Raw genomic sequence first — 17,521 nt, 5'->3', positions numbered from 1 at the left:
TTTTTTTTAGAATTTATAAAACATGTCAATTATCAGACTGAGAAATCTTAATGAATCTCAAACAGGACGAATAAGAAACCCATTCTAATACACATCATAGTATTGAGTGGAATACCAGAGACAAAGAGAAAATCACAAAAGCTTAAAAGGAAAAAAAAAGACTTTGCTTAAAAGGTGTGACAATTAGATTCAGAGCTGATTTCTTGATCACAAAATTAGAAACCAAGAGACAGTGATAAAATGTCTGTCGAAAATATCTAATAGAAAATAACTTCCAACCTAAACCTGCAGTATGTCCAGTTCAACTATTTTCAAACACTCTGCTGAAGTAAAAGCATTTAAGTTAATTACAGGTAACCACAAAAAAAATCATCACTAAAAGCATTTCTTAGAGTTAGCATATTTAAGGAATGAAGAAAATAATCTGAGAAGGCAGAACAGAGATGTAAATAGAGACAAATGAGTAGGAAAACTAGATCTAAAAATTTTAAGCATTTTCCTTTTCATTTTATTTCATTTTAAATTAAATATATTTCATAGAGAAAACATGTATGTGTTTTCATTTTTATGGTTTGACACAAAATTTTATATAAACAATTTTAAAATTTTAAATGACATTCTTTTTAGAAATGTTATTTTTGTAATCTATTCATGTATCTGTGAAAGCAGATGATGTGGTGGCAGGTTGGGAAGACCAAATATCAGTTGAAATAATAGCACTCAGATAATATGCTAATCCCCAATATTCTTTCCAAAGAAATCAAAGAAATGGCTTATGTGGAAAGAATCCTCAATTGAATTAAGGACATTTTCTTGGAACAATGATAGAGTTAAAAATTAAATTATTTTAAACTGCACATCTCACCCCTATTACATAAGTAGAGTACAGCCAATTGGCATTTCAAGTGAAGCTGAAGTTTTCTAACAAATTCAGTTCATTGGGATATGTAATATATTCAGTTTCACACAATAATATTTTTCTTCCAAGAGAAATGTAATGTGTTGTTTCACTTACACTCAACTATTCAAAATAGATTATCATATGACCATTTTTGGTTTTCATTTAACTAGAACATATTTTAGGAGCTCACACGGTAAAAAATAGTTTAGTTTTAGCTTGATAACCAAGATAATGCCAATAATTCTGTAATTTCAAACTTGCCTTATATTTCAGTAAAGATTAAGTTTATCAGAAACACAAACACATATATTACTTAGGACATTAAAAATGTAGTCTTTTGGTTTTTAGAGCTCCTAAGAAACAACCAAATTGTGAGTGCTAAGGAACATATTTGTGATACAGGAGCATATTTTTGGGAATTATGCAATGATTTCATTCCTACCAATCACTTATAGGAAATGAGGTATTCATTTTAAGTTAGCATATCAAGTAATAAATTTAAATCATGTCAGTTGTTATTAAACAATTATATTGCTAGGTGCTACCTTTGCAAGATCCACAGAGCATCACCCTCAGTTAATTTCATCCTTGACACTGATCATTATGATCCTTATATTTTTATTCTAGAAAAGTGACTTCCAGTTATTTCTTGTCCTCTAATGTAAAAACTGGTTTTCCCTTCCTCCTCCCATGCTGATATTTTTTAACTTTTTTGGCCCCTTCACAATCCTTTCCATCATGCCCTAGGATTCTGTGTTTGTAAACAAACTCCTTCATATTCTCAGGGCCTTCACAAAACACTACTCTGTCTCTTTTTTACTGCAATGCAATGCAATATTTTCCACCCTGGTTGCATATTAGAATCACCTGATGATCAGTCCTCAACCACAGAAATACTGACTTATGGGACACTGGAAGTGGGATGTCTTGGGAGTTAGAATTTTTAAAGAAATTATTGATGATTCTTTGGAAGCCAGGGTACTATATTCTGGCTCTTCTCACAGGACTAACCCTCCTTCTGTAACTCCTAGTCTCATCAAGACTCATTCATCCTTTAAGACCCATGTCTCCCACTTATGAAACTTCCAGTTGCTTCTTATTTATTGCCTTCTCTCAATCTCCTGGTCAACTCTGGCATTCTCTAAGAATTTGGGCCATTTCTTATAGTCTCATTTCACTACAAGTTTTGTCATTAGACAAGGGATTTCAAGGTTGAGGAGGAAGACACACACAGTGCAAAATTGCTCTCATAAAATTCACCACTGCCTTGCACATTGCTAAATACAATGGCCAGTTTCAGACCTCATTTTGTTTAACCCAGCAGCAACATCTGACGTAGTCACTCCTGGGTAATACTCATTTTCTTTTGGCTTCCAGAACACTGTTCACCTGATCGTCTTCCTTTCACTCTGGTCTCTCTATGTCTGTTTTCTTTGTTACCTTTTCTTTATCTCTTGACCTCATAATGTTGAATGTCCCAGGGCTTAGTTCCTGGTTCTTTATTTTTCTCTGGATCTTCTCTTATCCTTTATTATTCATTCTTCAAGGAATAAATGTCTATTCATTCTTTGATGATTTTATATGCATATGACTTTAATTCTGACAACTCCTAGATTAATGTCTGCCTCTCAGGCCTCCCTCAAAGCTTAGATTTGTATTCAAATGCTGAGTTGACATCTGTACGTGCCTAGACGATGGACATTTAAACTGAGCATGTCCAAATTGAATGCCTGAACTCTCCCCCATGAAATCTGCTCCTCCCACAGTCTCCCTCACTTCCTCTGATGGCAAATTCATCCTTCAAGGGCCTCAAATCAAAAATCTCTCTTAATTCCTCTTTTTACCTCTCACCTCACATCTAGTCTTTCACTTAACCACCTCTTGCTATCTTCTTTGCCACCATACTAGTCTATGGTATTATCATTTCTTGCTTGCATAACTTCAACGTCCTCCTAAGTAGTCCTGCTGCTCTTACCTGGTTATTCTGAAATCTCTCTACATTACAGCCAAAAAGATTCTTTCTAAATATAAGTCAGATCCCATCACTTGCAGGGTTTTATCCATTTTGCTCAAAATTAAAACCAAAGCCCTTGTAGTAACCTACAAAACCTGCCTCCCCATCTCCTCTCTGACCTCCTATCCCACTACCTTCTTCCAGCTTTAGTTTCTCAGCTACATTGGCCTCTTCTTTGTCAGGCATGCCCTGTCTTGGTACCATCACCTGGGATGCTTCCTATGTGTGGGATTCTCTCTTCTCTGATGTCTGCTTAGCTAATTTCCATATCTCCTTCAAGTCTGCTCAAATAACCTCCCATGAAATTACTTTTTGTCTTTGCTTATCTGTATTGTTTACATGACCTGATTAGATTTGGAGGGAGTGAGGGTATGTTACCATTAGAGGAACATTACTAGTAATACATGGCACAAAATAATACTTTCAATATTATCTACAGTTACCAGGAAAGAAGTATCCATTAAAGGCAAAGTATTAGAATACCAAATGGTGGTTTCCATAGCAGAGTGAGCGGTATAAGAAATTCAAGTATTATAGGAGTAAATTGGATACACTGAAGTTGATAACCAGAGAGTTTATAAAAAGAAATAATTGGCTCTTAAATTCTTGACTCACGGGCTGGTCAGAAATTCAGAGTATTGCTATGATAGCCCTAAAAGAATTTCTTCTTGCTTGTAGGCACAAAGCTGACGCAGGCAAAAATCAGACACAGGATTTGACTCATCAGATTGCAGAATTAGAATAAAGATTAAAACCAAGCCTGGAAGGGTCCTATAAGTAAAATTTGGGGCACTTTCTTGGGAAAAAAATTTGAATCTTTAGAATCAGAATGTCACATCTAGAAAATTTATACAACCACAAGTGATTCAAACAATAAAACCGAACTTTTGATAAGAAATACTGGGGTTAGTCAGGGTTTAAATGCAGATGATCTAAATCACCATAAATATTTTAAGCAGAATGTAATTTTATGGAGAGAATTTTACATAGATAAAATGTTGAAATGGTTAGAGGAGTGAGCTCTATTGAGGTCTTCCAGAAATGGCTCCCAGAATTGGCTCTCCATGAAACCGACTACCAATACAGAAGTCACAGAACATCTTTCTTGATGACTTCTGGGAAATTAGAGATCTTCTGAGTTTAACTAGGGATAAGCCAACATTCAGTTAAATATCCTAGTTACGTAGCACATAATAATGAAAAATAGTAAGTTCCTTTATTAAGATGTAGGCTTAGCTGCTATGCCAAACCACAAGATAGCAGTGAAAAGGTGAGAGATTATTCTCTTTTTCACAGAACAATATGAGCTAAGAAATCGTAGGCTGATATGGCAGCTCTTTAGTGTCTGGGGGATGGGAACCAGACCCCTTCTACCATGTTCTTTGCTGAAGAGGCAATTCTTCAAACTCATGAACTGAGATCAAAGCTTGAGCTCCTGCCCTCACATTCACATGCTGGCCAGTGGGAAGGAGAGAAGGGAAATGGAGGGAATGCCTCTTCTGTTTAATTGCACAAACTACAGATTGTGTATAGTATATGTTCACATTCCATTGGCAAAATATATTCACATGTTCCACACTGGTGATAACAGAGACTGGGAAATAGAGTCGTTACTCTGTTTGGCTATGTATCTATATAAGTATTGGGAGTTTTATTACTACAAGAAACAGAAGAGAATGGCTGTTGAGGAGCAAATAGCAGACTACCACACCTCCAGTCTTGGGTGATTTGATAAAACAATGACAACTTGTTTAGGCAATGGTGCTTACTTTTATGTAGTTAATTCGTGTAATAATGAGACCATAGTAAAGCTATATGAAAGAATGAATTTCAAAAAAAAAACTTCACTGGTTACCTTAACCAGAGATTTTAAAATAACACTATGCTACTATGAACAAATATTGCAGTACAATAATATGCAACTTAACATTATTACTATTTTCTACTAAATCATTCTATAATTTTCATACATAATGATGTCATGCATTTTTAAATTGATGCACTGGGTAAATAATGTGGGAGAAGCTGCTGTGTCAATATTTATAAGGCTGTTTACTATGTGTTGTTATATTCAAAAGCAATTTAAGTATATTAAAAATATTAGCTAGTATTTCCAGGAGTGTTTTCTATGCAGGCCATACAGAATTGTATACAATTTCTGTACTATAACATCTGAAATTGGAAGAAAGAGGATAGGTAAAATATAGTTATCACCAGCAATAGAGGAATTTGGGAATGAGAGTGAGCAGGGATGGGTAGACAATCTAGCTGCCATAATGAAGAAATTTTAGTCCTTAGGACAAATATACAAAAAAGCAGGTTTCCAGGAAAATATCTTATATTTAAAGGAGAGAGAGGCTGTGGAGCTATTTAGGCTACTTATCATTAGATCCACGAACAGAAGATAAGTATTTTTAAATAGACCTAGGTAGCAGAAAATAAACAGAGCTTTCAGACATTAAAAGGCCCAGTTCATCCCTGGCCATTCAGAGATATGAAGTTTCACAAGTCCAAGTGCTGACTGAATATATACACCATCATGCCCCATGGAGAATTTAAACAAAGTATACCCCCTACTCATATACTTTTAGTAATGTATTCCTGAAAGTCAGATGTCCTGCTTATATAAATGAAATGCTAGATCCTAGAGGCAATTTCCCATTATAATTATAATAATTATTTTAATTTTTCTCTTTTTAAATTTCCCATTATGTAAATGGGGATAATTATAAGGTATTCCATATCTACCATCATTCTAAGTTCTTAAAATGCAGATGAAATCCAGTGAAACTAATAAAGGTGTAATGTTTATCATGGCATTTGCAAGGGCCATAAATTCTTTGAAACCAGTGATGTCTATCCGTGTGATGAGCTGGTTTGTTGGGTCTTCACTGCTGTCTTCTTTAGACTAACATTACATGTTTATATAAATAAACTTGGTAGTGAATCCCTCAGTTACATTTTCCAAGAGTTCTTTAATTATTTTTTTTTTCATCTACTTCATCAAAGCCAGCTCTCCTGGGTCAAAATCCTGTATTCTTTTTATGTTCTCCTACCTCGTGATGTCTTTTTTTTTCACTTGCTTTGCTTTCCTCTCCACAATTTTCTCCAACACTTTCTCAACTTCTAGGGCCATTTATAGCTCAAGTTAGACAAAAACATGACTACACAGGAAAGACAATAGTGAAATTTATTTGGAAGAAGTGCGCAGTGGAGTATTGGCCCACAGTGCATCTAATGCTGTGCTGTTTCTCCCAGTTCCAGCAACACCCATGATGAACAGCCTCCCTTGCTACTCCACAAAATCTTCAAAACGTCTTTGTCTACCAGTTTGGAATGGAACTTGTATTTGGAATGGAACTTGTGATTTTTCTTGCACAACATACTGTATGAACAGTAGTCTAGTGTGTTTGGGGTGATGTCAATATGTATTTCCAATACAGATATTAGTCAAAAACCAAAAGCAAAAAGAGGCATTCTGTGAAATTTGGATATTAAAAACCAAGAAGTGTTTTATTGGGAAAACATTAATTTGGAAAATATTCGGTGGAATATGCCAATATTTTTAAAAATGAACTTTTCTCTCCCTCACACACATCATATCCAGCCAACTCATCAACTTCTCTGAATCTCAGTTCTGTTTTGTAAGGTTTTCTACGTTCAAAACTATAATTTCTTCTTTGTCCCCTTTGTCCATCAGTAGCCGTCATGTCACTTCTATCTCTGGATCTTTATTGTGACTGTTCTTTCTTCTCCATTTCTTATTATGTATAATCAGTTAAACCACCACATTTAGCAATTAGAAATTTTAGAGACTTTTTGAAAGCAATTTTTTTTTCTGAAGAGAAAGTGAAGGCAAAGGAGAACTGAACCCTTGCTTTCAGCAGTGAATAGAACATGAGGAAGAAAGAACAGCAAGTATAAAATATCCTTTTAAGAAATGTCACCATGTGTACAGTTTAATTTCATAGTCTCCTTAGCAGGAATAAAGAGAGGCAAAAAAAGTAACACACAACACCGACTGTATTCCATACATTGTTCCAAAAGTGCTATATGTTACTATCTGATTTATTTTTCAAATCGCTCAGAAGTAGATTCCGACAGTCCCCATGGTACAGAACGTAAAGATAGGAATTAGAGAGGTTGAAGTAGATTAGCTGACATCACACAGTTAGTAAGCAGTGTCAAGATCCAAGTTTATGTCTTTAAATCTCAGCATGTAACACGTACTTTGCACTAAACAGCATATGTAGGTTTCACGAAATTATTTAGCCACACACAACCAGTCAGATATTCCTATTTCAGGACTCTGACTGAGTTGCTACACCAGCATTCTCATCACTAGGCACTAGTTTTAAAGCACTGCTAAATATTGCAGAGAAATGAGTGACCTGAAAGATGAGCTATTCAGTCCTCATTGTTTTACATACGTTTTTTAAAGAAACTGATTTCCATGTTATATCCCAAAACAGATGTATTGAATAACTCCTGTTTGGAAGTAGCTGTGGTGATTAAACTCATACACACACACACACACACACACACACACACACACACTTGACTCCTGCCCTGATTGCATATATATAGGTTTTATTAAATATATGTCAATAAGTAGAGAATATGACCGTGATTGAATTTGCATATGGACATTTAGAAGAGGAAAGTTGGTTGTCTTTTTCTTATTAAAATTCATAAAACAATTATTTTTATCCTTCATCATTTAGCAATTAACAAAATTGCCATCCAGATAAGCTCTTAAATGTGACTCCTAGGGACTTAATAATAATTTAATATTACTTTTGCTAATAAAGCCCTGGGTCTATTTTGATTAATCAGAATTACTGATTCCAGATTCTGCTCAATTGCATCTTCCTAAATATATACATTTTTCCCCTCTTGTCTTTTCTATTTTAAGCTATCCTTGATGGAATTGTTAGCCTACACACATGAATACAGATGAAAAGTCTGTGTGAACTAGAGTCATTTCCAAAAGTTTAATGGATGTTGTTACTGTTGCTAGAACATAATGCCATTTATCCCAGTTTACATTGTGCAAATTCCAAGTTAAGTGTTTTTGCAGTAATGAGAAATTAAGAATCATTAAACATTCTAAAGATACACACACATACACTACTCATGAGACATCAAAAATAAGAGATGTTTTCAATAAATAATAAGATTTTATAGTTATAAAGTAATATAAAATAAGGATATGCTTGTGATATGTGCAAGAAATATAATTTTGCCAAAGCAAATAAAAGAAACGTGCTTAATAAAATGCAAATAAACAAGGTTTACTGTCAAATGTTTACACCACCTAAAGAATACAGGTAGAGATATAAAAAATACAGGATAATGTAAAATGAGACTTTTTTTTTTGAAAAATTCCTACCATATGCCAGACATTAAGTAAATTACATGGGCAGTTACCTCTTTTAATTCTTAAGAATCTTAGAACCTAAGAAACATGTGGAAATTATCTCTGCTTTATAGAAGAGGAAACTGTGTTTCAGATACATTGGGTAAAAATAGCTAATAAGAGGAGAGTCTGATATTAATATCTAATCCACTAGAACATGGTGCCTGTGCTTTCACATTTGACCTTGAGGTGCATTTTTTGTTTTGTTTTTTATTTTTTTTTTTCAGACAGAGTCTCACTCTGTCGCCCAGGCTGGAGTGCAGTGGCAAGATCTCAGCTCACTGCAACCTCCGCCTCCCAGGTTCAAGCAATTCTCCCTGCCTCAGCCTCCCAGGTAGCTGGAATTACAGGCACCCACCACCATGCCTGGCTAATTTTTGTATTTTTAGTAGAGATGGGGTTTTGCCATGTTGGTCAGGCTGGTCTTGAACTCCTGACCTCAGATGATCTGCCCACCTCAGGCTCCCAAAGTGCTGGGATTACAGGTGTGAGCCACCGTGCCTGGCAAGGTACATTTTTATACTTCTATTAAATAGGAAAATAGCTGAAATTATTGGAAATTTACAAATATCACATCAACTAATGGAGCTCTTTTGTCAGAGACAGGCCCAAAAGTGCCCTAGAGTGCTGATTTTATCTCCTTTGCTGTCCACTGGGGTAACCAATAGCCATGAGTACCTACTGGGTAATTGAAATGTGACTAATTCAAATTGAGATGTGCTGTGAGTATACAATACACACTGGATTTAAAAACTTAGTATGTAAACAAGAATGCAAAATATCTCATTAATACTTTATACTGATTTTGTGTTAAGCTGCTAAAATTTGGGTAGATCGAATTAAAATATATTATTAAAATTAATTTCGTTTTTAAAAATGTGACTATTAGAAAATGTAAAAGTAAATATGTGGCTTACACATTGTGACTCTATTGGAAATTCATGGTATTCCTTAACTCGCTTGCACCAACTTCCATAAACATCAAAAGAAACATGCTGGCTTTTCATTTGTTCAAGATACCACTATTCCCACTTCTGGCTTTATCCTCCCTTCCATATAGATACAGACAGATGTTAGATATAGTTACAGATTTACATATAGATATACCTCTCCAAGAAAGATGTTCTGTAACTTCATATATATACAAATGATATAGATATACATATAGACATAAATATATCTCACCAAGAAAGATGTCCTGTAACTACTGTAGTGGTAGTTGGTCTTACGGAGAGCCAATTCTGGGAGCCATTTCTAGAAGACCTCATTAGAGCTCATTCATCCAACCAATTCAACAATTTACACATATAAAATTGTCTCCACCGAATTACACTCTGCTTAAAATATTTAGAGTGACTTATATTGTCTGCATTCCAACCCTAACCCTAGCATATATATATTATATATGATATATAACCTCAGCATATATATATATTCAACATATATATATGCTTAGCTAATATATATCATATATAATATATATATATATAATATATGTTCTTCCCTAAAAATATCAGACTCCTGCAGAGTCTTCTAAACTCACAGTGAAGTTAAGGTGTTTCAGAATCATTTCGCAGCTTGAGTCTCTAAACCAAGTTTAGCATATCACTTTTACCAAGAAATGAGTATATACTTTTAGTTTCTGAAGGCACAATTAAAGGTACATCAAGTAGCTTATAGGAAAGTGAACTCCACATGCATTTTTATTTGTTATCTGCTTGAATGTAAGAGTTACAGCTGAGATAGCTATACAAATATTGCAGTATCTCGTCTCAATTTTCAGAATGCTCCTAAATCAGAGAAATAAAGGCATTCAGTTGTTTTTCTTGGAGTCTTTCTACTGCAGACATTCCCACAAGTTATCATACTTTATATGAATGAATACTCTTTTTTATTTTAATGTAATAAATTATATTAATGTTTAATATAATTAACCTTTTATATTAACTTTTCATATTCTTATATTAAATTCTTGTTTATTCTTTGCTTTCTAAGACCATTTAATATCTTTTCAATGTAGGTTCATTTTGAGAAAAAATTAAACTGATACTCAAGGTGGTCCACAATTTGGCTCTATTTCCTTTGTAATATCTCAGATAGCTACATAAGGTGCCCACCTCAGCCAAATCATCACCCACAGCCCACCTTGCAGTGTGCATGAACCATCCCTGTTCTTTCTTATGCCATTCAGCCTGCCTACAGCACTCTCACAACCATATCCTTTATCTGGTCCTCCAGGGCTCAAATTCCACTGCCCCTGCCCTACAAACTGAAGGGATCTTTCCCTCCTATGAGCTCTAAGTGTGGTTCCAAATTCTTGAGCATCCTATAAATACATTTCAAATTAGATATCCTCAGCTGAATGTTTTATTTTTCACTACAACCTCATAAACGTTTTTCTGCTTACTTTTCTCCAAATTTCTTTTTTATTTTTAATATTTATGGATACACAATAGCTGTACATACTTATAGGGGGCATGTAATATTTTGATACAAGCATGTGATGTGTAATGATCAAATCAGGGTAATTGGGATAACCATCACCTCAAACATTTATCATTTTTTTAAATGTTGGGAACATTCCAAATTCATTCCTCTAGTTATTTGGAAATACACAGTAAATTATTGTTAATTACATTCATCCTATTTGCAACATGGATGGAACTGGAGGATATTATGTTAAGTGAAATAAGCCAGGCAGAGAGACAAATATCACGTGTTCTCACTCACATGCGAGAACAAAAAAAAATGATCCCACAAAGGTAGAGAGTAGAATGGTAGTTACCAGAGGCTGGAAAGGGTAGTGGGGATGGGGAGATAAAGAGAGGTTGGTTAATGGGTACAAAAATACAGTTAGATTGAAGGAATACAATCTAGTGTTCAGCACTGCATAATGTTTAAATATTTCTCCTGGTATTTAGTTACATCCTACTCAATATTAAAGTTATTCAAGGCATTTTTTTCCTACCCACTTGCCATCTTGTATTATTTTTAAGAGCAATTTTTTAAAACAAATTATATTCATTAAAAATTTTAATACACACCCTCAAATATTATCATATTCAAAGAGCTCTGGTATGATTCATCTGTGCCCTTAATTTGTATTTAGTGTATAATCAATACTATTTTGTACATACTTTAAAACTTTCCTGTTGCAGATTTCCTAAAATATGACCTCATTCAAGATTTTACAAGTTTAAAGTCTTAAAATCCCCAACAAGATTGGTTTGTTCCTTTAGTATCCCACTCAATAGTTGTTTATTAAATTTTAAAGTGGTTTAACTTTTTTTTTTAATGTTGCTTCCTTGAGTCGGGCATGTGGCTCATGCCTGAAATCCTAGGACTTTGGGAGGCTGAGGCAGGTGGATTGCTTTGAGCTCAAGAGTTTCAGACCAGCCTGGCCAACATAACGAAAACTCATCTCTACCAAAAAACAAAAAACAAACAAACAAACAAACAAACAAAACCACCAGAAAACTCTTGCTCCCCCACCAACTGGATGCTACAAGATTATTTTTTATTACGATCAAATAATTACTCTTCAAAGGACCAGACTTATATAAGACCTATATCTGCCATCAAACATCCCACACAGAATGAAAGGCAAAGCTTTTCTTGGAGAAGTAGAGTATCTTGGGCAGGTCAATTACCTTTGCATTAAATCCACCTATGTATATTTCCCTTTCATTACAGTCTTAAAATGTTTATTTGCTTTCCTCTATACTATTCCATATAGTGTTAGAAGCCTGTCAGGCAAAGAGCCTGTTTAACTAATTGTCAACTGGGAAACATTTATCTAGAAACTTCTTTGTAACCAAATGAAAATACTTGCTTTGAAATAAACGGGGAAGGCAGAAGTGGCAACACTGCCCATTCCACCTACTATGTTATAAGCCAGAGCAAACAAATTAGTTTGCTCTTAATAAACCATTTTTATATTCATCAATTATAATAAATATAATTTAAATATCAATGAAACTGCACTTCTGTTTTCTACACTAAACTCATGGTTTAAAAAATTAATATCTGCTGGGCATGGTGGTTCATGCCTATAATCCCAGTACTTCGGGAGGCCAAGGCAGGTGGATCTCTTGAGCCCCAGAGTCTGAGACCAACCTAGGCAATACAGTGAGACCCCATCTCTGCAAAAAACACAAAAACTTGCCAGGTGTGGTGGAGCATGCCTGTAAACCCAGCTATTCAGGAGGCTGAGGCGGGAGGATCAATTGAGCCCAGGAGGAAGAGGTTGCAGTGAACTTAGATTGTACCACTGCACTCCAGTGTGGGTGACTGAGCTACATCCTGTCTCAAAAAAAGAAAAAAAGAAAAAAAAAGTAGTATCTATCATATCACTGGCTAAGAAAATTTACTCCTTTGTCTCGTTAATAATATTTATTGCATTTATTTTCATCTCAGACCTTTAATATTATATGGGTTAATGGTGCTTGCTAATTCTACTACTTACAACATTGTATCTGTAGGAATTATACTGAACATCTGCCAACTCAACATTTGAGTAAAATTCTTTCAACAAATTATCAAAAGTTATTTTAGGTTAAAAGGACATATGGACACATTTAATCATCTGCTTTGTTTCAATATCAAATTGGCATGCTCATGGTCCATGAAGAAGGTGGCAAATATCATAACCACAAAAATGTCTAATTAAAATTGAATAACTCTGTCCTCAATTTACCTATGTTTTATTGGAAGTGAATAGATGTTTGCTTAGGATTAAATTCTGAAGCAGACTGCAAACAAAGGAGTCTTCTCTTATTTTATTGATCTAAGAGGAAGGTGACTAAACAGAGAAGCCAGGAACTGATAAACAGACCAAAACACTTGGAGAAAATGTGGAAGACATTTTTATGAATAAAGGCTTGAGAAATATTTTTTTGAGTTTAAAAAGATCTTATATTTTCTTTATGAAAGTGATAAATTACTAGGTGTTTATGCTATTTCTTTTGCATTTTCTTTCTTCCTTTTCACCTTTCACCATGCAAAAATACCACACACACACACAGATTAGAATGTACCTGTTGGAAGAGGCACTGCCAGTTCTTCTTGCACGGAATCATGGAGTGATAGACAATTTTCTGTAAGCACAATGTCATCAAGTGCAATGTCTCCACGCTGACCTTTCCCAACTCTACCTTCAAATTTGAGTTGGAAGTCTTCATCACCAAACAGTGACAGTTCTTCTCTCCGCCAGAAATTGCCTTGTTCTACAGTGAGGTTAAGTAGAACCTTCGTTTGGTTTGTGACTGACACCTGCATTAAGGTGAGTGCCCCAATGCCATTTCCATACATGTGATAATGAAAAATAATCTGTAATCAAGAATAGGAATATTACATACGATATGATTAGTATAATTAATATGATATTATTTTCAATTCTATCACATTGCCCTCTTCTTTATTAACAGATTTCTGGAGGAAAATTACACCTGTTTATTCTCTTGCTCTGTCTGCACTTTAACACTGAGTGAAGTTAGACCAGCCTTGAGTCATATGTTGCAATGTATGGGAGACAGCAGAGGAAGAATCAAATAGAAATTTAGTAGGAATTAAAGGGCTGAGTTTACTTTCTTTCTGTGACTTCTGAAAGCAAGATTCCTTCATAAACTCTTAGAGCCCATTGTCAAAGGAATACAAGATCATTAAATTGCTATGCATTATACAAAAAGACTTTTCATGATTAAGAAATAACAGGAACAAAAGAAGATTATTTTTAATCTCATGAAACTTAAATTATTTTATTTTCTTCTTTTGCTTATTCCACTGCCATTCTTGTACTTGAAACACTTTTTCAGTTCTGTAAGATTCTCTGGGCTCCATTTAAATACAACAAAACCCCAGAACAGTAATTATCCAAATTTTACTTGAAATGCTACAAATGGGCCTTCACAGAGCAACCCACGGAGCTTTTCTTTGAGTAAAAATTAATAAAAAGTATTTTCAGGGATTAATATTTCAATGTTGCATAGATGAAATTTACTAGATTTTGAGTGATTGTCACACAGTGAAAAAAGTCTGGAAAAATTCTGGGAAAAGAACAGGACAGGTTAGGAGCAGTAGGAATTCAAAGCCTTTAAAGCTTTTGTCTTGTCATTTGTGTGAATGAGGGAAAACAGTGATGAAATTGTTCTGCACATAGGAAAAAAACATGTTTGAAACACTAGCAGTCACATATATCATACTCTACAAGAAGAAAAATGAACACCGTTAAATCATATATGCAGTGCATTAATTCAAAAAGGATCAACCAAGAATGGGTGAGCCATGCAGTGACTCTACCCATCTCCCAACTGATGAAATCTTTAATTATTATTCTATGACCCCAAAATACTTGTTCTATGGACTAACTTTCCCAACATGAGCTCTGTGATCATTATGGATTGTCCTGGTACCGGTGAAACTTGGGTACCATGACTCATTTGAGTGAGAAACAAAGTGGCCAGGGGCCAACCTCTCAGACAGCATCCCAGGACCACCTCTGTGGCACACTTCTGCAAGGACCCCTTGCAGCTACAAACAGGGACTTCTCCTTTTGTTTGTCTTATTTGTGCAACAAATATGAGGCATATGTTTTATGTCTCAGTAAATACGTTTATATCTTCTTCAGGTCATTTGCTGAATGATGCCATCAGGTTAACATGCAAACAGATGCACCAACACCCCTATTTCCAAGGGGAACATCTGGTGACGACAAAGCCTAACACAGGGTAGTGAGAGTGAATAAAAATCTTCTAAGCATTGGCAGGCACGGTGGCTCACACCTGTAATCCCCTCACTTTGGGAGGCCAAGGTAGGTGGATCACCTGAGGTCAGGAGTTCGAGACCAGCCTTGCCAACTTGGTGAAACCCTGTCTTTACTAAAAATACAACAACAAAAAACAGCTAGGAGTGGTGGTGTGCGACTGCAGTCCCAGCTACTCAGGAGGCTGAGGCAGGAGAATTGCTTGAACCTGGGAGGCAGAGGTTGCAGTGAGCAGAGATCACACTACTGCACTCCAGCCCGGGCAACAAAGTGAGACTCCATCTCAAAAAAAAAAAAAAAAAGAAAAAAAGAAAAAATCATTAAGGTCTCATCTCTTCTCTCATCACCCTCTACATGGATCCTTCCTATATACCAACCCCTACAAAGAAAAAAAAATTGATTATCTCTGCTTGAAAGGTATTCCACAAGATGAAGGGGCAGAGGTGATTCTCATAAAAATCTGGGAGGTCAATCTGCTTACCCGATGAATATATTTTTAATATAGAAGACCCAATATTTCCTAGCACAATCTTTCCTTACTTGCTTTTATTCAATCTGTATCATAAATATTCATAAAATGAACCATTCATCATTAATTTTTTGACATTTCTTCTAGGCATACTTCATTATTCTCACACAGATGTTTAAAACATTGGGGACTCTAGTTCTGGGACCAGGGGAATATAGCAATGGATGAAATCTTAGTTACTACAGTATGAAAAAATAATCCACTGGACATTTTTAGAAGTGTTTAAATAGAAAAGCTGAGAGGTCAACCTGGAATTTTCGTATTTTGTATTTAATATTTAATTAGGTTTATAAGACTAAAATGAATTTGTGATTTTCAGAATATCTATAGATGTATAAAGCTAAATTTATAGATATATACCCAACATAGAGAAAATCTGGTGTGCTTGGGTTTTATTCCTGAGAAAGTACTAAGTTATCTGGAAGACAGCAAAAACAGATAAAAACTATACTTGATAAAAACTCAATTTTTGCCAAAATAGATTTGTATGATTTACTTTCATTCTAGACTGCTGACCAAGTTCTGTCACTGAAACTCTCACCTGATCATGTCACTTTCCTTACAGAAAAATCTTCACTGTCTATGTGATAGATGAAATTGCTCTATGAGAGTTAAACTATAAAGTCAACTCATGATGAGACAGAAAAACTCTTAAGACAAAGTAAAAGTTTAACATGTATTAATACTATGGCAGTGGTAAGGTGTTGAAGGCTGTTTGATATGTTTCTCTCCCATGGTTAGGGCTCTGTCAGTTGTGGACACAGGCACAGAGAAGTGTAAGTTGGGCTGGGCGCAGGGGCTCACGCCTGTAATCCCGACACTTTGGGAGGTCAAGGTGGGCAGATCACCTGAGGTCAGGAGTTCGAGACCAGCCTGGGCAACATAGTGAAACCTCATCGCTACTAAAAATACAGAAATTAGCTGGGATGGTTGTGCACGCCTGTAATCCCAGCTCCTTAGGCATCTGAGGCAGGAGAACCACTTGAACCTGGCAGGTGGATGTTACAGTGAGCTGAAATCACGCCACTGCACTCCAGCCTGGGCGACAGAGTGAGACTGTTGAAGGGAAGGGGAAGGGAAGGGAAGAAAGTTTCTGGATGTAATTTGTTTGCTTTTTGGAGGTCAAACATTGGGGAACACTCTAGTCAGAATACATGTGTTCAGAAATTACAGACTGCATTTCTTATTGTAAATGTATTTATTTCTGTATCCATCTCTTGTAAGCAAGAGATCTCTGAGTGCTTGTGATCTCTGAACACTTAATTTGGACTATATGTAAAGGTAAATTTAGTTCCTAGCCTAGCTAACTCAAGTCTTTTATGGAATATAAACAAACAAGCAAACAATAAACAAAGGAAGGTGGAAAACCCTGTAAATACATAGTTATCGTATGAGGCTGCTGCTTTTCCCAAAGAACCATACAACCTTATTTATACTTTTAAATCTCCATAGATGTTTTCATGATTTTTTCACAGGCTAATGACCAAGTCATGTTTTCTTCCTGCTTATAGAAATTATTCTACTTCTTTTAGGAATAAGTTCAGGGTCCTTTTTGTTTTGTTTTTCATGAAGACTTACTCAACAATTTTTTTTTGTGGCTCTAACTATCTCTAATATTCATTCTTGGAGATATTTAATTATATTCTGACTGTTGTTTAATTCTATTTCTGTTTGTAAAATTTCCATAGTTTTAATAAGTACTAAGCTTCTTAAGAGAAAACAACTGATATCTTACTTCTTCTGTATTATACATGGTTGTGAATAACAACCATGGAATTTTCCAACAGTTTCCCAAACTTCAGTATCTATGGAATTTATCCATAGGAGAAATTCTTCCAACAGTTATAGCAATCCTTCCCCTTCATTCTGAACTTCATTTTTTCCCCCCTTCACATATC

General features: G+C 35.2%; 1 protein-coding gene across 10 annotated transcripts in view; it reads right to left on the bottom strand.

The window, feature by feature from the left end:
* The window catches only part of MALRD1 (MAM and LDL receptor class A domain containing 1), a 687,552-nt gene that overhangs the window by 368,811 nt on the left and 301,220 nt on the right, over positions 1-17,521 (bottom strand). For all 10 annotated transcript variants that reach the window (XM_011519453.3, XM_011519455.3, XM_011519454.2 and 7 more), the window contains one exon: positions 13,371-13,662. In XM_011519453.3, coding sequence (XP_011517755.1) covers positions 13,371-13,662 — 292 coding nt within the window. The remainder of the gene's footprint in view (positions 1-13,370; positions 13,663-17,521) is intronic.

This window comes from Homo sapiens, chromosome 10, assembly GCF_000001405.40.
Source record: "Homo sapiens chromosome 10, GRCh38.p14 Primary Assembly".
Lineage (NCBI taxonomy): Eukaryota > Metazoa > Chordata > Mammalia > Primates > Hominidae > Homo > Homo sapiens.
This window is presented reverse-complemented; position numbering and strand designations above follow the sequence as displayed.